The sequence below is a fragment of the Homo sapiens genome, chromosome 3 (genome assembly GCF_000001405.40).
Source record: "Homo sapiens chromosome 3, GRCh38.p14 Primary Assembly".
Taxonomy (NCBI): Eukaryota; Metazoa; Chordata; class Mammalia; order Primates; family Hominidae; genus Homo; species Homo sapiens.
In genome coordinates, this window is record NC_000003.12 from 18,167,623 (window position 1) to 18,194,765 (window position 27,143).

Here is a 27,143-nt window from a genome sequence, read left to right on the forward strand (position 1 = left end):
GTGACTCTGGAAAAGGGAAGATGAACACTTCATGTGAAGACTGCAATATGAACTTTTGGATATAAGTCACAGGTGTCCTAGTTCATTTGTTTGTCTACTTATTCATTCAACAAATAAGTTGAATAGCCAAATAGCCAGGCATTGTGCTACAAATTGGAGATACAATGAAAAAGACAGGCATATTCCCTCTCACTTGAAGATTACCTTCAGTAAAAGATGATAGCCAGAGGTAGTAGTTTCATATTGCTACTGTAACAAATTGCCAGGAGTTTAGTGGCTTGCAACCACGTAAGTTTATTATCTTACAATTCTGTAGGTCAGAAATCCAACATGGTAACACTTGTATAAAATAAAGGCATGTTTCTCTCTGGACAAAAGAATTCATTTCTTCCTCCAGAAAAGAAGAGAGAAATAGGGGCAAATTCATTCACTTGTTTTGCTTTTTCCAGCTTTTAGAGGCTACCTTGGCTAATGGTCCACTTCCTCCATTATCAAAACCAGAAATGGCAGGGCAAGTCCTTCTCATGTCACATCTCTGTGACCCTTCTTCTTTTGTCATCACATCTCTCCCTGAGAATAGCTGAGAAAGGTTTGCTTTTAAAGATTCATGTGATGAGACTGGACTCACCATGATGATCTCCCCATCTCAAAATCCAATATCCTCACGCACATTTGCAAAGTCCCTTTTTGCCATGTAAGATAATATATTCATAGGTCCGGGGGGTTAGAGCATGGACATCTTTTGGGTGCCATTATTTTGCCTACCACATCAGGTTAACAAACAAATACAATAAAATAGTTACATATTGTGGCACATGCTGAAAAAGACATAAAGAGAGTGCTATGAGAGAGGTGAGAATAGGGCACCCACTTTAGATAGTGTAGTTAGGAGAGACATTTTAGCGAAGGTGATATTCAAGGTGAGCAATGAAGGATGAGAAGGAAGTTTCCCTCATTAAATCAATGGGGCTTGACTTGGTGCCATTATCTTCTTACAGATCCTGTCCTTCTGCTTATAGTGGATTAGCCCAGGCATAGGCACCTGACTTAGGCTGGGCCAATCAGAGGACTTCCTTTAGATTTTTAAACATGTTTTTCAGGGAACATGTTTCTATTCTATATGTGATGAAGCTTGTAAATATGAAGTCCTGGAGTAGTCATCAATAATGTTCTTGCCTTGTAGAGGACATTGACTTAAAAGAAGACAATAGGCACATAGAGTTAAACAGAGGCAAAAGACAGCAAAAAAGTCTTTTGTTCAAAGTAAAATTAAGAACTGTAGGCTGAGTGCGGTGGCTCACGCCTGTAATCCCAGCACTTTGGGAGGCCGAGGCGGGCAGACTACCAGGTCAGGAGATCGAGACCATCCTGGCTAACATGGTGAAACCCCGTCTCTACTAAAAATACAAAAAATTAGCCAGGCTTGGTGGCGGGCACCTGTAGTCCTAGCTACTTGGGAGGCTGAGGCAGGAGAATCGCTTGAACCCAGGAGGCGGAGCTTGCAGTGAGCCAAGATCGCACCACTGCACTCCAGCCTGGGTGACAGAGCGAGACTCCATCTCAAAAAAAAAAAAAAAAAGAATTGTATTATTTAGGATTCTTTTGGCATTGTTAGAAACTTAGAACCTATCTTTCTTAAGCAAAATTGATATTTATTGGACAATTCATGAGATAGTGGGAAAAGCAGGTAGGGGTAGTATAGTCAGCCAGAGATCAGGCTTCTACCATATAGAACCAAAGAGTTATATTTCACTATTTAGCTTAAGAGCTTAAGATAGTTAGGTTTTTAGGTTGTGAACACTTAAAACCAGAAGATCCTAAATAGTACAATTAATAATTTTATTGTCTGAAAGTATGGCATATGCAGGGCCCTCCATGGGAACTGACGAGCACTTCTTGAATCCATGTATAATGTTAACACTGGATTTTTATTTTTTAAATACCAAACCCCCAAATACCTATTTATATCACATTAAAAGAGTTGATTTTGCTCATTTGTCCAATTGGAATATATTGTGATCTCCGCAAGTCATCCATTTCCTTTTGTGTTTTTCTTTAAATGTGAGAATACAGCATAGATATAATGTATACATGTAAAATGTATCAATATAATTTAAAAAATAGTAATAAATAATAATAAAATGAGACCACTTGCTCCCAGTGTAAGAACAAGAACAATCTCAGTGCCTTTGAACTTCCCATATGCTCTTCGATGTATGTATCTCTTTCCTCCCTTCCAAAAGTAACCACTCTTCTCTAATTTTTCTTTAACATATTATCATATATGACAATTTTAGCTTGTTATATAAATGAACTCATACAGAATAGATTCTATCACTTGCTTTTGTTGTTCAACATTGAATTTTGAGACTCATTCACATTGATATGTATAGGTAAAGTTCATTCATTTTTCACTACTCTATCTGCACCATTTATGAATATACAACAGTTGACTTATGCATTTTACTGTTGATGGACATTGAGATGGTTTCTAATTTTTTGCTATTACAAACAATGTCACTTGGGGGCACGTGTGTAAGTGTCTCTGAAGTACTTACCTAGGAGAGCAATAGCTGGGTTATAGGAGAAGAACATCTTCAGCTTCAGAAGTAACTCCATGTGGGTTTTTATAATAGCTGCACTGTTTAGTAACCCAACCAGTAGTGTATAAGGGACAACATTGCTTCATGTTCCAGCTAAAATTTGGTATTGTAAGACTTTATTATTATTACAAACCTGGTGTGTGTAAAATGTTATTTTGAGATTTCAAATCAGAGTTTTCTGACTATTAAGGGTGTTGATCTTTTTTTGCATGTTAATGGGAAAGGTATGCTTTTTCTTCTGTAAAAGCAAATTTATATTTTGCAAATATAAAGTATTTATAAATATATCTGTATTTACATTACATATTTTGGAATCACATCCTTTGTTGCATTTTTGTGTTCCAATATTTTACTCAGTTTGTGAGTTGCTTTTTCACATTCTTTCTCTTTTTTTTAATAAATAGAAATTTTTAATTTGAATGTGGTAGAATTTGTTGATCCTTTTCTTTAAATGTGTATTTCTGTGTGTCTTGTTTAAGATATCTTTCCTTTTATATTATGGTTATATTACTGTATTTCATATTAAAATTTAAAGTTTTGCTTGTCACATTAATCCAATTGAAACTGATTTGAGGGAATGATGTGAAGTGAGGCTACAAATTAATTTTTTCCGATGAAGAGCCAGTTATTCTGGTGTCTGATGAGTAGTTCATTCTTTACCCCCACAAGATACACTGAAGCTCTCAGACCAAATCGTTATATATGTGGAATTCTGGGTCTGGGCTTCGTATTGTTCTGCTCCATATGTATTTCTGCACCACCACCACCCTGTCTTAATTACTAGAATTTTATAAAAATTCTTGATATATTTTAGGACTAGTTTATTTAGTAGTATCTTGATTATCTTGGCCATTCACCATCCCTTATTCCTAATTAATTCTAATTTTAGAATTACTTGCCAAGTTCCACCTAAATCCTTCTTGGGATTCCAGTTGGAACCATACTAAATCTAGAGATTAATTTGGGGAGAATTGCCATCTTTAAAATATTTTTTTACTATCTATGAACATAACTAGCTCTTTCACTTATTTGATCTCCTTTATATCTTTCCATTTTATAAATTCACCCATATATACATACGTTTGATTTTTGTATATCTTATTTTTTGGTATCTTAAATTGAATCTCTTTAAAATTATATTTTATGTTTGTTACTGGTATATAAAATGCAATTGGCTTATGTTTGTTAATCTTATATTTAGCAAACTTGCTTAATTATCTTTTTAGATATATTATTGGAAAATTTCATAAGTTTTTTATGTGTACAGTCTTAACACACAAAGATATGAGAAAATAGACAAGAACTAGAAGGAACACAATATTTTTACTTTCTCTCAAATGGCAGTTTGTCATTCATCTATGAAACAGGATATTTTTGTTTCTTAATTTCCAATCTTAATTATTTTCTTTTTATCTTTGTGTATAGTCTACCAGATCATCCACTAAATTTGATATTTTTCTGATATCAGAAGAAATGTATTTTAATATTTTACTATTAAGTAGATGTTTTCTGTAGGTTTATCACAGAATATTTTATCAGATTAAGGATATCCTCTTTTCTGTGAGCTTTTTACAAATATTATTATAAATAATTGTTGAATTTTTAAAAATGCTTTTTCTACATCTTTGGAGATCAGATGACTTTTCTTCTGTATTCTTTTAATGTTATAAGTTGTATCAATACGTTTTCTATTGTTGCTTCAACCTTGCATTCCTGGAGTAAACCAAACTTAGTCACCAAGTATTATTTCTTGAGTACAAATATTTACTTTGACAATATTCTGTTTAGTTTTTAAAATGTATGTTTGTGAGTGTATTAGTCCATTTTCATGCTACTGACAAAGACATATCCGAGACTGGGAAGAAAAAGAGGTTTAATTGGACTTACAGTTCCACATGGCTGGAGAAACCTCAGAATAATGGTGGGAGGTGAAAGGCACTTCTTACCTGGTGGTAGCAACAGAAAAAGGAGGAAGATGCAAAAGAGGAAACCCCTAAGAAAACCATCAGATCTCATGAGACTTATTCACTACCATGAAAACAGTATAGGGGAAGCCACCCCCATGATTCAAATTATTTACCACCAGGTCCCTCCCACAATATGTGGGAATTTTGGGAGTATAATTCAAGATGAGATTTGGGTGGGGACACAGAGCCAAACCATATCATTCTGCCCCTGGCCTCTCTGAATCTCATGTCCTCACATTTCAAAACCAATCATGCCTTCCCAACACTCCCCCAAAGTCTTAACTCATTTGAGCATTAACCCAAAACTCTACAGTCCAAAATCTCATCCGAGACGAGGCAAATCCCTTTCACCTATGAGCCTGTAAAATCAAAAGCAAGCCAGTTACTTCCTAGATACAATGCAGGTAAATATAGCCATTCCAAATGGGAGAAATTGGCCAAAACAAAGGGGTTACAGGACCCACGGAAGTCTGAAATCCTTTGACTCCATGTCTCACATCAAGGTCATGCTGATGCAAGAGGTAGGTTCCCATAGTCTTGGACAGCTCTGCCCCTTTGGCTTTATAGGGTATATCCCCGTCCTGGGTGCTTTCATGCGCTGGCGTTGAGTTTCTGCGGCTATTCCAGGTGCATGGTGCAAGCCGTTGGTAGATCTATCATTCTGGGGTCTGGAGTATGGTGGCCCTGTTCTCACAGCTCCATGAGGGGGTGCCCCAATAGGGACTCTGTGTGGGGGCACTGACCCCACATTTCCCTTCTGCACTGCCCTAGCAGAGGTTCTCCATGAGGGCCCTGCCCCTGCAGCAAACTGTTGCCTGGACTTCCAGGTGTTTCTATACAACTTCTGAAATCTAGGTAGAGGTTCTCAAACCTCAATTCTTGACTTCTGTGTACCCGCAGGCTCAACAGCATGTGGAAGCTGCCAAGATTTGGGGCTTGTACCCTCTGAAACCATGAGCCAAGCTGTACCTTTGCCCTTTTTAACAATGGGTGGAGCAGCTGGGATGCAGGGCACCAAGTACCTAGGCTCCACACAGCATGGGGACCCTGGGCCTGGCCCGTAAAACCATTTTTTCCTCCTAGGCTTCCAGGTCTGTGATGGGAGGGGCTGCCATGAAGACCTATAACATGCCCTGGTGACATTTTCCCTGTTGTCTTGGGGATTAACATTTGGCTCCTTGTTACTTATGCGAATTTCTCCAGCCAACTTGAATTTCTCCTCAAAAAATGGGTTTTTCTTTTCTACTGCATTGCCAGGCTGCAAATTTTCTGAACTTTTATGTACTGTTTCCCTTTTACAATGGAATGCTTTTAACAGCACCCAAGTCACATCTTGATTGCTTTGCTGCTTAGAAAGTTCTTCCTCCAGATACCCTAAATCATCTCTCTCAAGTTTAAAGTTCCACAAATCTCCAGGGCAGGGGCAAAATGCCTCCAGTCACTTTACTAAACCATAACAAGAGTCACCTTTGCTCCAGTTCCCAGCAAGTTGCTCATCTCCATCTGAGACCACCTCAGCCTGGACCTTATTGTTCATATCACTATCAGCATTTTTGTTAAAGCCATTGAACAAGTCTCTAGGAAGTTCCAAGCTTTCCCACATTTTTCTGTCTTCCTCTGAGCCCTCCAAACTGTTACAACCTCTGCCTGATACCCAGTTCCAAAGTCACTTCCATCTTTTCAGGCATCTTTTCAGTAATGCCCCACTCTACTGGTACCAATTTACTGTATTAGTCTGTTTTCACACTGTTGATAAAGACATACCTGAGACTGGGAAGAAAAAGAGGTTTAATTGGACTTACAGTTCCACATGTCTGGGGAGGCCTCAGAGTCATGGCAGCAGGGGAAAGGCACTTCTTACATAGTGGCAGCAACATAAAAATGAGGAAGATGCAAAAGTGGAAACCCCGATAAAACCATCAGATCTTGTGAGACTTATTCATTACCACGAGAATAGTATGGGGGAAACCGCCCCCATGATTCAAATAATCTCTCAGCAGGTCCCTCTCACAACACGTGGGAATTATGGGAGTACAATTCAAGACGAGATTTGGGTGGGAAAACAGAGCCAAACCATATCAGTGAGTGAGAAAATCTACACTTTTTTTCCTTTTCTTTCTTAGTTTTGATAAGGTTATACTAATGTTATAACATAAGTTGGGAGTATTTTATTCAGCTATTGTTGCAGTAATAACTAGTTTCTTAGTAGCTTGCAATATCATTTATTTTTTGGTCATATTACATGTTATATTGTAATTATTATAGCTTTGGTTGGGATTCAGGTGGGCTCTTCTCCAGATGCCTTTTCCTTCTAGAACCCAGCCTGAAAGAGCAGCTTATATTTGGCACATGTAGTTTTCATGACTGAGGGTCATAAGAGGCATGATGCAAACCAAATGTGACAAACATCACATATTTTCATTGGCCAAAGCAGTTACACGGACAAGCTTAAAGTCAATGATGTGAGACATTACACTCTATCCCAGAGAGCTTGACACTGATAGAGTGATAATGAGTAGTAATAAATAGCAGCCTACCATGGCAATCCATTTTGGTCACAAAAATTTTCTCTCTTCTGCAAGTAAGATACACTAAACTGCTTACCACAGCATTCAATGTCACAGTTGACTATAGCATTAGGTTCTAACTCCAAGATCAAGTGATCTACATCATGTCTGAATTCAACTTCTCTTACTTCTGAAACCTAAGTACAAAAAGGACAACTTAGGTGCTTCTGTCCCCATCTCCCATCTATAATGGTGGAACAGAGTCAGTAGAACTGAAACAAACGCCCTCATTAGAAAGGGTAAGAATGGGAGGTTCTTTATTGTTACTAGTTCATAGAGATTCTGAAATTCCTCTGGGAAAATATGGTAAGGCCTCTTATTTGGGGGTTAGCAGGTATTTTTCTGTTAGACTCTGGTCATGGTTCCTGGGAGTTGTTCCTGTCAATTGTTCTCCTTGACTCTCAACTGTACTGTTTAGATCATCCTTCATATTCCATCATTTTCCTCAGCCAAATCCAAAAGCAAGGCTTTCTCAGTCTGCTTCCTGCCAATAAAATGTTTGCAGCCCAGCTGGATTGAACAGTTACAATCTCTTCTTTACAGTCATAGTCTCTTTTAATTCAGGCTGTTGGCACTATTGGAAATGAAATAAAAACACTTTTAGAAAATGATTCCAGCCAGTGCAGTAGCCCACACCTGTAGTCCCAGCTATGTGGAAGGAGAGTTTGAGACCACCAATTCAAGTCCAGCCTGGGCAACATAGGAAACACTGCGTCTACAAAATATTAAAAAAGAAAATTAGCTGGGCATAGCAGCTCACAATGTAGTCCCAGCTACTTGGGAGGCTAAGATAGGTGGATCACTTGAGCCTGGAGGTCAAGGCTACAGCCACTGCACTCCAGCCTGGGAAAGAAAGCAAGACTGTCTCAAAAAAGAAAAAAGATTCAATTTTCTTTTAGAGGCTTAATGCTAAACACATAATGATGAGTCCTTTGAGCTTATTGGGATTCTGTTGTATTTCGCCTTAGTCTTAGTTACTGAGCCATTTTGTCCAATTGAAAGAGTTTATAGAGAGCCATGTTAATTCAATCAGAGCTCTCAACAAAGGTGTATAGCCAAGGCTTTGATTGAATATTTGATCCCAAACTGTGCTTTAATATCCACATCTTATCCCTGTGGCCGTGCGCAAATTTGAAAATGTTTTACTATCTGTAGATGAGCAATAGCTGTAACTTTCAACCCTTCAATTCCTGAAATTTCTGGATTGTTATTTTTTATTTCACCTCTGCAATAACTGAAAAACTCAATATATCTAACAAACTTGTGACTTATGCAGAGATGTTTTTAAACAAAGCATGTCTCTAGAAAGAAAATTTAGGTCGTGTCATAAGTTTTACATATTGGAGATGTGTGTATTTATGCATGGAATGTATTTTTTACTTACATTTAAATTTTACTTTTATGAAATTTTATTATACTTATATTAAAAATTTAATCTCTTTGGTAATTATGCTCACTTTTTACTGCTAACAATACTTATTTATGCGTTTTCTTCTTTTTCCTTAATCTGGCTAGAAGTTTGTCAATGTTATTAATCTTTCCTACATACCAACTTCGCTTTTGTGGTATCTCTCTAGTATATCTTTGCTTTCTGTTTCATTAATTTTTGTGCCTGTTTTTACAATTTTATTTCTTTTACTTTCTTTGGCTTAATTCTGTTGTTCTTATCTTACTTCTTAAGTTGGATGCCTTGTCCGTTCAGCTTGTTTTTACTAATACATACATCTAAGCCTATAAATTTTCCTCTGTGACCAATTTTAGCTGAATCTAATACTATAATATGCAGTTTTAAAAGTTATTTAGTTTTTTTCTAATATTCATTATGGTTTTTCCTTTAATCATGAATTATTTAGAAGTATATTTAAATGTACAAGCACAGGTTGAGTAACCCATATCTGATATGCTTGAGACCAGAAGTATTTCTGATTTCAGATTTTTTTAAGTTTAGATTATTGCATATAGATATGAAATATCTTGAGAGTATGACACAAGTCTAAACATGAAATGTTTCATATACACTTTATACACATAGACTTAAGGTAATTTTATGTAACATTTGTAATGATTTTGTGCATGAAATAAAGTTTTAACCCATCACATGAAGTCAGATTTAGAATTTTTCACTAGAGGTGACATATTGGTGCTCAAAAACTTTTGAATTTTGGAACGTTTTAGATTTTGGATTTTCAGATCAGGGATGCTCAACCTGTATGTGTGTTTTTAAATTACTGGTTTATATTTCAATTGTGTTATTCAGAGAATACATATGTTTGATAGTGAATTATGTTGCATCTTGATTTGTAACAAGTACAAAAAGGATTAGCTTATATTTGCATCAAATATAAGCTGCTCTTTCAGGCTGGGTTCAAAAAACAGAATCATTTTTTGTAAATGATTTTCATGTGAGATTATAAATAATAAGCATCCACAAAAAGACTTGTATAAAAATGTTTATATCTATTTACTCATAATAGCCCTAAACTGGAAATAGCTCATCAGTAGAAAAATGGATAAAGAGTTTATTATTCATACAATGGAACACTATTCAATAACACTCAACAAGAACAAGACATGACATATAATTCATGCAATAATGTGAGTGAATCTCAAAACATTATGCTGAAAGAAGCCTTACATAAAAAGTGCAGAAGAGTAGGATTCCATTTATATGAAGTTCTAGAACTGGTAAAACTAGTCTATCGTGGAAAATGTATCAGGTTGCCATTGGGTGGGGCGGGGGAGTAGGGATTGACTGGGAAAGGGCATGATAGAATTTTCTAGGGGCGTGGTAATGTTCCATATCTTGATAAGGGCTTAAATTACAACTGTAAAAACTCAGGAAATTGTATGCTTAAGGTTAATACATTTTTTAATGTCTGAAAACGTCTTTTTTAAACTGTCATTTTTGAAGATTGATTTAACTAGGTATACAATTTTGAGTTAACGGTTGGTTTGCACCCAGCACTTTGAAGATATTTTTCCACTGTTTTTGGACTTCCATTGCTGTTGTCAAGGAGTTCTCTGTTGTTCTAATTATTGTGCTTCTATAGAATCTGTTTGGCTACTTTTATTATCTTCTCTTTATCTTAGAGTTTTGTTCATTCATTGTAGGGGGATCTAAGTGAACATTTCTTTTCATTTATTCTGTTGAGAGTCTATGGGCTCTCAAATCTGATTCTGATATCTTTCATCTATTCTAGAAAACGCTCAGCCCTTGGGTCTTGGAAAGCTATCTCTCCCCATTTTCAATATGAGTTCTTCTCAGTACTCTAGTTAGATATCATGATACACTGTCTCCACTCTGTCTCTGCTACATCCTGAACAATATCTTCTAAACTGTCCTACAGTTCTTTAATCTCTTTTCAGCCATACTAAATCCACTCCATTAAAACTGAATTTAATTGTTAATTAGAAATTGTTTTCAATTTCAGTTGCTATATTTTTAGCTTCAAGAATTTCTTTCTTTTTTTTTTTTTGAGATAGAGTTTTGCTCTTGTCACCCAGGCTGGAGTGCAGTGGCATGATCTCAGCTCACTGCAACCTCCACCTCCTGGGTTCAAGTGGTTCTACTCCTTCAGCCTCTGGAACATCTGGGATTACAGGTACCTGCAACCACGCCCAGCTAATTGTTTTGTATTTTTAGTAGAGACAGGGTTTCGCCATGTTGGGCAGATTGGTCTCGAACTCCTGACCTCAGGTGATCTGCCCACCTTGGCCTCCCAAACTGCTGGGATTACAGGCATGAGCCACCATGCTTGGCTGTTTTTTTTTTTTTTTTTTTAACCTGCTTGGTTATTTTTTGAGAAACTGTTACTACTTTGTTATATTTTTCTCACCTGTTAAAAATTTGTTTAAACATATAAATTTATTTTCTATTGTGTATATGATAATTTCAATATCTATGGTCTTTAGATGTCTGATTATGCCATTTTTTGTTTTTTTTTTTCTTACTTTTACTCAGGGTATTTTGTCTCATATGTGTTGTAATTTTTGTTTATCAATTAATGTTTCTTGGAATTTTTTTTTACATCTGGGTTTAAAATGTCTTTAATGGGGTGTGTGTATATGCTTGTGCTTGGTGCCTATAGACACTACTAATCTGGGACAACTTTAAAATAAATTTCCAGTCATTTTCAGAAATGTTCTCAAACATGAGTAAGTATAGTGTTGTAGTTGACCATTCTCAGGAGAGACATTTTCATTTTACTATTTAGCAAAAATCCAAAGCCAAGACTGGCAATTACCCCCTCTGTCTTCTGTAATGGGATAGATTTTCCCTAATTCAACCTTCAGGGGCCTAAACTTTAAGTGATGCTCTCTGGTGTGACCTTACAGGCTTTGTCTTCTGCCTGCCATGTGCTTGGCCCATTAAGTCCAGGCAATGGGCCACCAGGGATTGGCAGAGACCTCTGGGGAAATTACACCGACTCTCCTCCCTGGATTTAGCTATGTTATGGATGGTGTCCTTGCACAAACTGGACTTTGTTGTTCAAAGTAGAGTGATAGTAGAAACTTCTAACCTGAGAATCTTTATTATCATTTGAATATCAAATGATTCCTTTTTCTCTACATTTTGGGGAAAATTTGCCTTATATTTGGACATCTAGGGTAACTTGTTACCACTGGCTTCTTCATTTAGTTTTCTTCAGTATATACCAGACATAGTGTATATGAAAAAATAGCAAAAGTATTTGTCTTAGTAATGTATTACTTTCACTGTACCTTCCATTTCATTTGCAAACCCAAATGTTGGCTGGGGAAGGCAGTGACCACTACAATCTCCCCTCATCAAACACACACACACACGTGCACGCACACACACACACACACATACACACACACCGTCAAACCCACTCTCTCAGCCACTAAAAATAAACATAAATCCAATTAAAAACCATGTGCTTGCTCTGCAAACACAGCTTCATGATAAATCTCTTGGCCTCCCCTTTCAACCAGATTGTCATCCCTAAATATCCTCAGTCTTCCTTTATACAAATTTTGGAGCCTACACAGTTTTTTTTTTCTGTTTCTGCCTTTAAATTCTCCAAAATCTTGGTTGTTGGATTGCCCTCCACTATTGATTTTGGATCAGTTATTTTTGCTTCCATGGAATCTTAAATCACTGTTCTCTTACATCCACAAACATGAGAATTTTCTTTCAGATTTTCAGTTCTTTTAGAGCAGTTTCTTCCACCTCCAGTTCTGCTGTCATTTCACACATCTTACCTACTTCTAAAGAAAGATGTTTCATTTAGATTCGTGTCGTGTCAAAATTGATTTCCTTCATTTCGTATAAAACAATTTTGATTTCACCTCTCTCTTTCCTCAAAACCACCACTGCAAAAGTGTTACCATCAGAGTGACATAGGGAGGGAGGGTTTTTAATCAGGGCATTCAAGCAAAAAGGAACAGTAAGTACTTTCTTGTTCACTGTATACTGTATATCAGTTAAAACAACAACAACAACAACAACAAAATCAAACTTTTGTCCCAGTTACCCAGATTAGTGTTTTGGTCCTTCAAATCTTATGGTCTTAAGGGAGGTGTGTTCATCAAAAGAGAGAGTGGTGTTGACTTCTCTTTCACTTACCCAGAGGCTGAGGACCTCCCATGTGGGATGAGCAGAAGCAGGAGGAGATAAAGGATTTGGAACTTTGAGCCCCTTCCTCATGATATATGCACTGTGCTATTTCTTGTAAATTTGTATTGTTTTAAAAATAAATAATAAGTGCTTTTTAAAATAAAAATGCAAATGTGTGAACTAAGAAGGGTATCCCTGTTCCTCACCCCTTCTTACTTCACACCCTGTGGGTAACCCCTGATAACAATTTGCTGTAACATTCTAGCTATCTCTATTCATCCATCTATCCACTTAATATATTTTAACTCATCCTCATAATAACTATATGAAGTGGTACTATTATTACCTCATTTTCCAAAACAGAAAATGAGGCACTGTATATGAGATAGTTTCCCCAAATCTGAAGCTACTAAGCTTCGGGGCTGGTATTTTTAACTCAGGTGTATTGACTCCAGTGTGTGTGCTCTTTACTTTTTAAAATTATCTTTGACATTTATTGTGAAATTTTGTTCATAAAGATGCATGACTGTTATTTTTTGGTATATTACAGCTTCTCTCAAAATTAAGTATCCTCTATAAGGCCTTTGCTATTAAGCTGCTATTAAGTTGCAATAAAAGTTGCATCTAATATTAATATGTCACATTATTTTCTTCTTGTTGATATTTGCCATGGCACATCTATTTCCATAATGTATCTTTGGCCTGTTAAATAAAATTTGGTCTTATTGGTATCTGTCAGCATAAAGATGGATTTCCTTTGTACCCATACCTAAGAGCTATTTAGTTTTTAATGTTTTTATTTTCTTTTTATCCCAGCCTAAGTGTCACTTAGTTGTTAATGGAGGTGAATTTCCTTTTTACTCCAGTCTGAGTCCTTAATTGTTTATACGGGTTTTGATTCATTCACACTTATTGCCTTATGAACTTATTTTTGAACATTCTTTAAACTTTTTTTTTTTATTTTACAAGTCTTTCTTTTTTCTTTTTGCTTTCTTTCCTATTTGAATTGGACACGTTTTCTTTATTCAATTATTTAATTGTTTTGAATTTGTGTATTTTACTTTCTAGGATTTACTTTAGTAATACTTATAATTTAAATGTGTTGATTTAAAAAATCAGTCTCTAAAGTTAACCATGCTCTATTTAATTTCCTTCATCATATTCTCATCCCTCTTTCTACAGCTATTGTGGTCATCTTATAGAGGTGGCACAGCTCTCCCATCCAAAATTTTGTGTGTGTATAAAGACTGATGATACCACATACCTACCAACATGTTATGAAAAGGTTTATTATTCACATACTAAGGCTTTCTGGGGGAGAGCAGCATGGACTTTTTAGCTGGTCCAAATCTGGCTTGAGAGAGGAGGGAAAAGAGACAATCTCAGCCTGTGACTGGGGTTGGGGCTGCAGTGAGGGTTCTTGCACACTGGCAGAGGCTTATGTGGTTTGCACTTCAGCTAGCACCAAGGGAGGGACAATCAGAGTTCTGTTTTCAGCCTGCTCAGATGCTGGGAAGAAGGAAAAGGGGAAACGGTAGGATTGTTGTATCAAAATATCAGAAATAGAGTCACACTCTTTATTACAATTCCTTCCATGTTGAGATCATTCGGGATTTTAGTTCCAGATTGTTAATTACTTTTTCAATGTATATCAAAACATTTTTTGATTTAAATAGGAGTGTGATTGTTTTCTTTGTTCACTACCATTTCTTATGTCTAACATTTTACTCTTTCTGGGGCTTATGTTTTATTTTGAAAGAACACATTTTGCTTCCAAAGTGGTCTAGAATAATAGTTATTTTAATTTTGTCTTTCTACTGAATGCTAGTTTCGCTAGATACAGGACTTTTCTACAAAACAATCTTCTCTCAAAACATTAATCCTATATTCTCTTCTACTATCCACTTTTGCCAATGAGAACTCAGACTCTAAATCTGATTTTGTTTTTATTTTTATCTCTCCCAAACCCATCTCGAATCGGTATTCTTTTTAAAATTGATAAATAATAATTGCATATATTCATAGGGTACAATGTGCTGTTTCAATACATGTGTACCTTGTGGAATGACCATGTCAGACTAACATATCCATTATCTCACATACTTATAATTTCTTTGTGGTGAGAATATTTCAAATCCACTCTTTTAGTAATTTTGAAATGTATACCACATTATTATTAACTGTAGTTAATAATACAGTTGCACTGTATTATTGCAGTGCAATAGATCACCAGAACTTAGAACTCCTGTCTAACTGAAACTTTGTGCCCTTTGACCAACATCTGCCCTTTCCCACTCCACAGCCCAAACCCCAGCTTCTTGTAACCACCATTGTATTCTCTACTTCTATAAATTTGACCTTTTAAGATTTTGCATATAGGTGAGATCATGCAATATTTGTTCAGAAGCTTTATTCTCATTCTTGTGATCTAAAGTTTCACTCTTTGTATTTAGGTATATAAAATAATTTATTTTAATTTATTCTGTTTGGCATTCAATGAGACCTTTTAGTCTGAAATCTCAACTTTTTTTTTAATTATAATCTTACTGTTCACTCATTTGCTCTTTATCCATGTTGATTCTGCTATTCAGTTCATATACTGACATTTTAATTTTGATAATAATACTTTTGATTTTTGGGGTTGTTCATTGTGACGGTTCATACTGAGTGTCAACTTGCTTGGAATGAAGGATGCAAAATATTGTTCCTGGGTGTGTCTGTGAGGGTGTTGCCAAAGGAGATTAACACTTGAGTCAGTGGATTAGGAGAGGCAGACCCACCCTCAATCTGGGACTCCAAGTTCTTCAGCTTTTGGACTCTTGTAGCTACACCAGTGGTTTGCCAGGGGCTCTCAGGCCTTCAGCCAGAGACTGAAGACTACACTGGCAGCTTCCCTACTTTTGAGGTTTTGGGTCTCAGACTGGCTTCCTTGCTCCTCAGCTTGCAGAGGGCCTATTGTGGGACTTCATCTTGTGATTGTGTGAGTCAATACTCCTTAATAAACTTCCTTTCATATATGAATCTATCCTATTAGTTCTGTCCCTCTATAGAACCCCAACTAATATAGATTCTGGTACTGGGAGTGGGGTGCCACTGTAAAGATACCTGAAAATGTGGAAGCGACTTTGGAACTGGTAACAGGCAGAGATTAGAACAGTTTGGAGCACTCAGAAGAGGACAGGAAGACGTGGGAAAGTTTGGAACTTCCTAGAGACTTGTTGAATGGCTTTGACCAAAATGCTGATTGTGATATGGACATTGAAGTCCAGGCTGAGGTGGTCTTAGATGGAGATGAGGAGCTTATTGGTAACTGGAGTGAAGATGACTCTTGTTATGCTATAGCAAAGAGACTGGTGGCATTTTGCCCCTGCCCTAGAGAACTGTGGAACTGTGAGTCCATTAAACCTATTTCCTTTATAAATTACCGACCTCTGGTATGTCTTTATTAGCAGCATGAGAACAGAATAATAAAGTAAATATTCACTTTTCACATTTGTAACATCACTTGCAATCTCTCTAATGATATCCGATATCTTTATTTTAAAGTGCACCTCCAACTTTTTTCCTTATTTTGTTAGCTTTATTTCTTCAAGAGTTAGTTCTTCTATTTATCTCTCCTATGTTGTTGGTTTTGTTTGTTTGTTTTTGACAGAGTCTCGCTTTGTCACCCAGGTTGGAGTGCAGTGGTGTGATCTCAACTCACTGCAACCTCCGCCTCCCAGGTTCAAGCAATCTTCATGCCTCAGCCTCCTGAGTAGCTGAGACTACAGGCATGCGACAACAAGCCCAGCTAATTTTTGTATTTTTAGTGGAGATAGGGTTTCATCATGTTGCCCAGGCTGGTCTCTAACTTCTGAGCTCAAGCGATCCGCCCGCCTCAGCCTCCCAAAGTGCTGGGATTACAGGCATAATCCTGTTTATTTTTCCTATGTTATTGGATTTCCTTAAACGTTTGTGAATTTTTCATTGTCTGCTCATTTTTCTGTTTGAAAATACCTCTTTGCTTCCATGAGGATTCTGGCTTCAATATATAAGCATAGTTCCTCTGGTCTTTGGGTATGGATTGGATGTGCTTTGAGACGGGGTATACCTGTAACATGTTTCATGCATGGAGGCTGCCCTATTTCTCCTAATTTGGCAGCTATTAAAAACATTGTCCTGACTCTTTGGCTCAAGCACACATACCACCTGCACTTCTAGAGGAAGTCTAGAAATGCCATGTTGTCCCACATGCATTTTCTTGGCTATTAACACTTATATTTATCCCATGGCAGCTCTTGCTCTTTAGTTTTCATCGTAGCTGTATTTCAGTTTGAAGGTATATTTGTAAACACATATTGTCTACTATTTCTAGAGGTCTAGGTACAGACTCTCATCTTGAACAATCTCCGTTGCCCTACATTTTAGCCTTTTACATCTTGGGTTTCCATGTAAGATTTCATTTGAAAACAAGTGAATGAGCCTTTAAAGTGAGCCTTTAAAAATCTCTTCGAACATGACCCTATATCCATTAATAATTTCACTTCATGAGCAGCATGCTGATAACTTGTATTATGCTTTGTACACTGCTACATTCTTATTAGTGATGATACTAATGCATGTCAAGTCAACAGTTTCTGAGAGGCAGTTATGAAGAATAAAATTTCCAATTAATACCAGAAGGGGATATAAGTAGACCTAAAGATAATGACTTGCATTTATAAAAGGAATTTCTTCCTATAATGAAAACTGACATTAGTTTTTTACATACCTTGATCTAGCATTGTTATAGCAAACTTAGATGTGGTTAGGATCCTGGGAAAACTCAAAGACTCTGAGTGCAATCTTTCAATCTTGTAAGAGTTTTAGTAATATGCTATACTAATTTACATTAGGTATAGCAGATAATCACAGATAGTATAATGCAACCACTGGTATGGCCAAGATGTAGACCTTCCCTGGCATGTGAGAAGCCATGCTCTGTTCAATTTGCAGTATTCTGCAGTTCACTATAAGCAACATTGGGCAGGGAGGCGATTTTCTATTATTTGACTGGGGTGGGTGGAATAATTTTAATTGCTAAGAAATTGCATTTTCATTGTAAAGCAATTCAAGTTATAGCAGATTCATAATGCAGCTATTGTAAAAATGACATTTCACTGACATTTCTGTGAGAAGAACATGGTGATTTTGCAAATGACATGGTGAGGGCATAGCAGTTACGCGAATAACGGATTTTCACAATACGTGTGCTGGGAGCATAAATAATGATGATGGCAATAATATTAATAATAATGGCATTCCATGAGAGAAAACCTCTTATCTCTGCAATTCCAAAGTTCTTTAACTCACACCTATCCACTTTACACTCCACTCAAATAATTGGTCCTGACTTTTTTTGATGGAAGGGAGCTGAGGAACCAAGTGGTTGCCCAACTCCATAGCAGGTTAATGGCAAACATAGAATCAAAACTCTATTTTCTTTTAAAAAGTCTTTTGGGATGACTCATCAAAATGAGTATCATGCAGGTACTGGAAATGATATTGTTCTGATTTTATTGTAGATGTTTTTCCATCAGCTTTTTAGGTGGATTGTAGGTGAGCAATTAACATCTTCTCTTTTCGTATGCATAAAAAATGTAGCATTGTTTTATTTCAGGATGAACTGAGCTGCTCATTTCAAATATGTTTATAAAATACTCTAATAAGTTAAACAGGTAAGCAGCTTTTGTTAGCCTGAGGGCATATTATTCCCATAGTGGATATGTCATCACCATTTTGTTTTCACAATGCCATTATTGTGTCATTAATACAGAAAATTCTCATTTTTTCCTCTACATATATTTTAAGAGAAAAATAGGTTCTTACTAACTATAATGTCAGTGATTGGAAATAAGGGCTGGAAGGTAAGCATGACCCATGTGGTCAGGTTTCTGCCATGAGGGTCACCAACATAATTTATTAAACACACTAAAAGCTAGAGAAAAAATTTACATTTATTTACATACCCTTTGACCAAATGCTCTAGCCACCTATTTTGTTGATTTTGTTCTCAGTGTATATGAATGAAATGGCTTACTCCAATTTAAGAATTTGGGGTCAAAGCCTAATTTTCTGTTATGGATACCTTGTATTTAGGTTGGATGTATTGTATTTGGCCAAATGCAGAACATGTTAGAGCTGAGGCTCTCTCTCCCAGGCTTGAAAGAAATAAAGTGTAGAAGCGAAAGCAATATTCAGAAATTCCAATTTGAGTCCATTTGAAAGATAGGTATCTATAACTAGCCATTAACTTTGTTATGCATTAAGTTGGCATTGACAGCAACATTTCAATGTTGCTTTATCATTATGTCTTAATTTTTTTTTTGAAAAGGTGAGTAGGCTTTGTAAAATTTAGACGAAAAATTAAGTAGGTGTTTCTTTGCTTTTCAAACAAACCACTAACTCTTTCATAAATCTGATTTTTTTAACCAGGCAAAGAACATATAATTTTAAGCTAAATCCAATCCTGATTTATTACTACACCAATTACCAGAGAGGTACTGAATTCTTCTGTTTCATAGGCTATGATTTACATTTTCTTTGGATTACTTGGTCCCATGATGTAAAGCTTTCAACCAGAATTCTATGGTCTGACTTCATTTCCACAGCTTGCAGGCTCCTGCATTATGCCAACACAGGGTACCCATGGCTCTTGTCAGTGTTCACTGAGATGACTAAATGGCAAGGTGTGTTAATACATGTTAAAACTACAGTGCAAATTTGCCACAAAACATTGACATTGTAACATCTGCAAAGGAGTCATCATCATGTCAATAACAGTAAGTAATATTGCCATTTCTTTCCTGTTGCTTCAGCTAAGAAAGACACTGTTACTGAGCCAGCATGGGAAAAATTAGACTATGTTTTATTATGTATTTTTGTAAAAGGCTGTTTGCAAAACAAACAAAAGTGTAAGAAAATATATTCAAATATTTAAAGGTAAACACTCAATGTAATGATTGGACAAGACACAGAGTGGAACCAGAGTTATCTGGAGCTTGAATGAGAAAAAATAGAAAACTAATATTGTACAAAACCCCACTTAATCTTTATGCTCTTGATAATGACTATTAAAATGAGTGATGGCAAGTGACAGCCAAGACAAATGAAAGGTTCCTTTCTCATTGAAAACTTCTGTTTCATTGCCAGAGAGAGAGAAAGAAAACTGAAGCAAAAACCTGTGACTTCAGGACAACTGGAAAAGACAGGGACTTCAAACTATATAGTGAAAAAGAGCTAACCAATTGGGTTGCCTGATCTCATGGAGACAATCCTCACAGCTGAGACTATTAACTTGTACTCATAGAGGATGCAGATGCCATCTTGGGTGTGGCGGGTGAGATTGCTGGCATAGCATCTCCTTGCCACTAACCTTATGTAGGGATACTATGGGGAAGACCCAGATATTCAATCACAGTTTCTCTTGGAAGAGATGTGCAATACTATCTAATTAAGACATGTTGTACCTGGTTCTGAGCAACCTCGGACTTTAGTAGAGACAACTCATTTGCAACAGAGGAGAAGCATGGGGGCCCCAATGCCCACTTTTGAATATAGCACCTCCAATTCTTAGCTAACACTTTGTTTGTAAAAGGGTTTTAGTGCTAATGTTTGTAAAACTACAATTTGAATTCCAACCCTCATTTCACAGAAACCTAGTCCAGAAAGGGAAAGTGATTTACCCAAGGTCAAAGCCATTTGGCTAGATTCAGGTTATTTATAATATGAGAATTTTATTTTGTCTGATTGAGAGAAATAACAAATGCTGAGTAGAATTTGGTAGCTGGAGAACTAATGGATTGACTAGTAACAGAAAAGCTACACGTTTTGATTGGTATTCATCTGCCACCACTCCTGCTTTACTGCTTCTTAGCTAGAAAATGCATTTTTTTTCTGCCAGGAATCTTGGTTAGGCCACCTATACAAAACAGAAAATTCCTGTCATTGTAACAGATTTCTCAGTATGAACTAGCATTGTGGACAATAGAACAATTTTCCATCTCTCAGATTTTTCATCAGAATTGCTTATTTTGGCACCAGAAAAAGAATACTGGTCTTGGCAAAATGTTGGCTGTGGTCCCATATCCCATGATGCAGACCCCAGATCCTGAGCCATCCTGGGTTCAAAGACCACTGGACAAAGAGCAGAAGTTCTCATTCTGAGCTCCTAGGCCTGTGCCCATGGGATGGTGTAATCTGTACCCTACCAAGCTACCCACATCTCATTCTTTTGAGCCCAGATTTCTGATGTGTCCACAGAATGTCCACGACTTCATTTTGTGCAAACCCCTCCCTCTGTTGTCCGGCTTCCTTTATTCTTTCAGGGATAGCAGCTGCTGCCAGCCAGCCCATAGCACCATTCTGAGATGCCCCAGGGAACAGCTGGAACTCTCCCAAGGGCTGATTTTACACCACTGAGTCTGGTCCCAAATATTTCCCATTTCGTGAAAATATATATTAAGGAAATGCCACCTAGAACCAGAATTCCCAAAATTGACCAAATAGTGTTGTGAGAATTGGCTGCATTATTTACTTTCAGTCTATTAAATCAATTTATGGGGGTGAGTATTTTCTGTATTAATGTATCATGTTTTTCTGAAGCTCAAATTGAGGTCACAGATTAGATTCACTCACTGAAAAATATAGCTCTCTTGTGTAGGAAGAGGAAATATTCTTGCTTCTCTTTGGATTCTAAATTATTTTTCTCTACCTAACCCTCCCTAGCACTCCTCCACCTCCCACCTTTTAAAGCTTAGAGATCTAGAGCCGGAGGTTTAAATAAAAGTGCTACGCCTTTAAAACCAGTGAAAGCAAATGGAGTTTAATAATCCAACAGTATCTTGGTCCATCATAATATTTAATCTGCATTATATCTCACTTCCTAATCGCTACTTCCATTCCAATTGTGAGCAGAGGGTGGGCGAATGGGGCATTTCAGATAAGTGCCAGTAAAACAAGTTTGTCTTACAGCTGGTGAGCCCCAAGTACATGTACACAGTGCCTTATGGCTGTATTCAATCAGATGATCCCATAAACTAAAAATAATCACCTCTAATACTAATACCTCTCCTTCATTGTTGCTGGTCGCTATGGTGCTGCATTCGACTTTGAAGAATTCACCGCCATTATTACCCTCAGTGTCTCTCTCTCTGAAATGTGATCTAATTGCAGAATCCACACCTGTTCCACAGTTCAATAGAATTCAGATTTGATGGAGGCAGACTTTCAAATAACACACACACATATGCACACACGCACACACACTTGTGCACACACACATAGACAATTACCCAGGAGTTCAGTTGGGGCCAAAAATAAATAAATTAATAAAGAGGGTGAGTTTATCAGAACATAATATTATGGAGAGGAGGAGGGAAAAAAAAGGCTGTGTTTTGTGGTCACTGGAAGATTGCTGATGGGTGCATAAATAAGGCATGCTGGAACATCTGTTCTTTGTTGTGCATTCAGCTTTTTAATGTGTTCAAAGAGCAGCTCTGACGCATCGCTGACTACCACTCCCCATCCGAGCAACATTTTACCAGAAAATAATAAACCTTCCTGGTGGGGTGCAGGGAGCCAAGGCATTCGGGCAATGCCATTAATTTGGAAATATCTCTTTTTCTGGGATTTTAAAATCTCTCTCTTTTTGAACATTGCACAAATTTGGGACCCAGCCTAGCATCCCTATCAGCCTAAACATGAAATCAGTCTGAATATCTATTCAACCTTTTTTTTTTAAGTCAGCAAAGGAAGGGAGAGAGCAGTGAAGTCAAAGTTTATACACATTTTCCCCTCTGCTTTTAATTCTATTACTGTTAACGCTAATCTATTGGGATTATTTTTAACATGTTCCAGTATTTATTTGTACTGATAAAATTCAAAGGCAGCTGAGGCCCCTGACAGTTGAACAATATTGGCTGGTTATTTTGATACAGTGTGGTAGGCAGCAAAAGATTAAAAAACGGAGCATCCTAAACTGAGGAAAACCAGCTTGAATTCTAAAATAAAATTTTAGCAGCATGGATTTCTCTTGCCATAGGCTATGAGGCTACTATGAATTTCAGATGCATTTCCTGAGCTGTCAATGAGGTGGAAAGATGAGATTGGCGTTACGAAGATTTGTTGCAGCTCCATTCAGTGTAATTGCAATGGAAGGTATAGAGACATTAAACCACCACCCAAGAAGAGCTGTTTATGTACATACAGTATAGAAATAGCTCACAAGACAATGATAGGACCAGGATGGGAATTTCTTTATGTCACTTTATTTGTCTTTTACATCTCCCTCCTTTTTTAGCTCACAGCTCAGAAGCACTGCAATACCAATTAGCTGCTGGAGGTTGCTTCCATAATGAGCTTGACTATGTCTTATGAAAGAGAGACAGGATCTTTTGGGTTACAGGGCTGTTATGTAAATTCTCTCTTTCCAACATTCTTTACAATCTTGGTGTCTAGACTCTGGTCTTCATGTTGCTGTCTCAGCCAGCCCTTTCCCACAGAAGAGTTACCATTTGATCTATGTCAAGAAGTGGGTAGGTCACCAGCAGAGTCTGCTTCTGGGAAGCATTTTGGGTATAGTGGTTCACCCAGAGCCTATGTCTGTGATAGCAGAAGAGAGATATTTGTGGCTAGGTAAGTGACTCTTTTAAAAAAAATCCTTTTGTTGGCCTTGCATGGCCCTCTTTTTAGATAATTTGGGAGTATTTACAATGTTTAGTATCAAGATAATATAAAGATATGGGTTTTGTCACAGACTGACCCTAATGGTGTTATATTTGAATGTATCTATGCTGCTTAAAAATCCCACAGAATGACAACTCTATAAATGGTCAACTAAAGTGAACATTTTCAAGGCAGTGCCTTCCTCTGTACCTTTAATACCATCAGCATGAAAGTGAGTAATGATTTATGGACAACTGTAGAAAAGTAAAGAAAATTCAATTACCTGACAATTGGGAGGTACGTTTTATGGATACGTGGTTAGGATATATTATACATAAGCTTACTGCATATAACAATTGTTCATTTAATGAATTTTAACTATAACCACACTTGAAAACTTATGCTATTTATCAAACAATTTTTTTTGTATAATGACATTTAATTCCCCAAATCCACTAGGTAACACATACCATAAGAAATCATTTTTCACATTATTATTTCAGGCAAGGACATACTTCTAATTTACTCAACACAATAGCTTCTAATCAAAGAATATCATGTGAAACAAATTTGAATTTCATGTCATGCTTGAATGAGTCCCCAGGTTTTGCATTGTATATGTAAGCCAAGTAAAAGGGAGGAAGATGTAGCAGCATTTCCATGATGCTATTTCTGTGTATTTCAAAAGTCAACTTTACCTTTTTTGGTCAAAGCTTTAAAGAAAAAGACAAGGCTGTATGATTCTAATATTGATTGTGCACATGAAAATCAGTCACCTGCCTTTCCACTACCTTCCAAAAAAGGCTCCACTGTAGAGCTGATGTGGTGATACACAGACTAGGTTTCCTTTTAGTACCAAAGGATTATTACTCAGTATTTAGAAGTACAATCCATTGACAGCTTTCAAGGTGCAGTCCTCTCTGGGAATTGCCCTAAGTTTAAGAGAACTACCGTGGCATTTTCAGGGGGCAGCCCGAATCCCACAACTGGTTAAAGTGAGCCTGTAAAATTCTGGCTTCTTCATTTCAATTCAGAACAATTTGGAAAGGCTGCCCCAACGTCAGAGCTATGAATGGAGTTGGCTGAGGACTTTGTTGAGACCACTCTGCCCAATCTTGCTTTCTTTTCTTCCATTTCACAGTATACTGATCTTGAGGCCACTCCTTAACACACTTTTGGCATGCTAATCTCTGTTTCAGGGGATGCTACCTCTAACAACTTTACATCTCTTTCCAATAACTGCCACTGATTATCACCCTTGATGAGTACAATAAACCTTCATTATCTTTATATTGTGTACAAGCTATGTTTGTTTACTATTATATTGTTACTTATATGAACTTGTTCTCATTGTTTGATTGATAGATTTTTCAATCTGTGAAATTATTTGAATGCATTGGGTTGGGATGGAATGCACCATAATTTTCCTCATTAAAATTCATAAGAGTATTATTTTACTTAAACACAGCAGCAAGACTTTAGGAAAAGTTAAAGTTGTTAAATGAGGTATAGATTCTATTAGAGGTTGTATCAGTCAGAGTGCTCTCACCTGCATTTAACAGAAGCTCCAACCCACTGTGACTTAAAAAATAAGGAAAAAATATTCTCTCGGTTGGTAGGAAGTTCAAAGGTAAGAAATTTCCAGAGCTTAATAATGTAAGAATTCAATAATGTGATTAGGGACCTAGCTTCCTTCCATCTTTCCATTCTTTCATCCTCAATATATCAGCTACACTTCACGGTCACAAGGTGGTGGCCATCACAATAGGCAACAACCCTGAAAGGCTAGAAGAGGGAAAAGGAATGTGACCCTTCCTTGGGTCCATCTCTGAGAACAAGAAAGTCTTCTCCTAAAGCTCTCTTATTAGACTTCACTCATGTGTCTCTGGCAAGAACTTTTGTCAAGCGTTTATTCTTAAACTAATAACTGACAACAGGAATAAAATTACCATGATTGTCTTAAATGGATCAGTATTCATCTTTTGGGCCTGGGGTTGTTCATTCCATTGGACAGCCTTCTGAAGCACAAGGATATCTAGTACTTGAATAGAAGAGGGATTCTGTTATGGAGGAAAAAAGAAAGAATGGCTGCCATGTAGGTGAGCAGTGATGTTAGAAAAGCCTATAAACTTACTTGCTAAGAATTCCTGCCCTTGTTCTTGACTTACAGGTCTCACTCATAGCTTAAATCTAAGAAGCATGATGTAGCAATGGCTTTAGGAGTAAAATTATTTTAAACATTATTTAATAATGAATATTTTGACATATGCCTTGTGTATTGAATAAATGTATGGATATATATATATGCATACATAACCATATACCATAGTCATGAATGTGTGTGTTGAGGACTTTTCAGGATGCATAATAGTTGAATTAAAAAATTAAAAATTTCATTTTTATTATTTATATAAATTGTTTCCCCACTTTATTAAATTCAAGCAAGTCACTTTTATTATGTTGGCATAGTTTATATGCAGGACTAAATATCTGTTTACTATATATAAAATACATATTCTTATTATAAAATAATTCATTCTAAATGTAGAAATCTTTGAATGTCTAAAGGAAACTCTTTTTTGTCTGGTAAGTCTATTATGTTTTCATGCAGCATATATAGCCAGTGGTTTATGGCTCTCTGAGTTGTGGTATAATGTGATATATATCATTTTATTATGTTTTAAAACTTAACAATATACCATAATTAGTTCAAGTGAATAAGTGAGGTTTCACCATATGATTTAGAATGGCTGCATAGTATTCCACTATATGGAAGTAACAATCAAGTAATTAACCTATTATTGTTTAGCATTTAGATTTAAAAAAATTTTTATTTTTAGCTATTGTAAAGGAGTTATAAGTGCATTTGGGTAAATACACTTAGTCAAAGCTTAGATAATTTCTTTAAGATGAATTTCTTGACAAGAAATTGCTAGATCAAAGGACACACATGTCTTAAAGAAAATTGATTCAAATTTCATGTAATAAAATATTTCTGAAAAATTTCTCTCTGTCTCTACCTTTTTAGCAGCACTAGGAATAGATAATTAAAACAATTTCCTAGGGGAACATTTATATGTTCTTTTTGTTGCTTTGCAAAATAACATTTTTTAAAATTTAAAATAAAATTAGTTTTTTTAAAAAAGGTAATATATAAAAATGGTTGAATGTCAAAAGTTACAAAGAAATCATGAAGTGAGAAGTAAAACTATGTCCTAATTTTTGTCCTCTATCCACCCAGTTTCCCTCTCTAGAAATCAGCAATTGTTTCAGTTATCTTTTGCCATACAAACATCCACCAGCCCCAACTTAATATCTTCAAAAAGTATATCTTATTTATTATTTCTCATTCTGTGGGTTGGCTTCGTGGTTCCACTGGTAGTTTTGACTGGACCCTATTGGAGAGTGATTATTTTCTTTACTTGGAGAATGATTATTTTCTTTTTAAAGGTGTGTTTAATCTGATTTTCCCAATTTTTTATTATGGTAAAACACACGTAACATAAAATTTATTATCTTATCTACTTTTAAGTGCACAGTTCAATAGTATTAAGTACATTCATGTTGTTGTGCAACCATCACCACATCCGTCTCCAGAACTCTTTGCGTCTTGCAAAACTGAAACCCTACACCCATGCAAAAATAACTCCCCATTTCCCCTCCCCCTGGCCCCTACAATGGCCACTCTACTTTCTGTCTCTACGATTTTAAGTACTCTCAGTACTTCATGTAAGTGGAATCA

At 36.5% G+C, this 27,143-nt stretch overlaps 2 long non-coding RNA genes across 2 annotated transcripts in view; both read left to right on the forward strand.

Annotated features, from left to right (window-relative positions):
- Positions 1-27,143, forward strand: part of BALR6 (B-cell acute lymphoblastic leukemia associated long RNA 6) — a 306,371-nt gene that overhangs the window by 205,071 nt on the left and 74,157 nt on the right. The window lies entirely within an intron of this gene.
- LOC124909351 (uncharacterized) lies at positions 10,920-26,406 on the forward strand. Its single transcript, XR_007095842.1, has 2 exons — positions 10,920-19,518; positions 19,889-26,406. It is a non-coding gene; the product is annotated as an uncharacterized LOC124909351 (long non-coding RNA).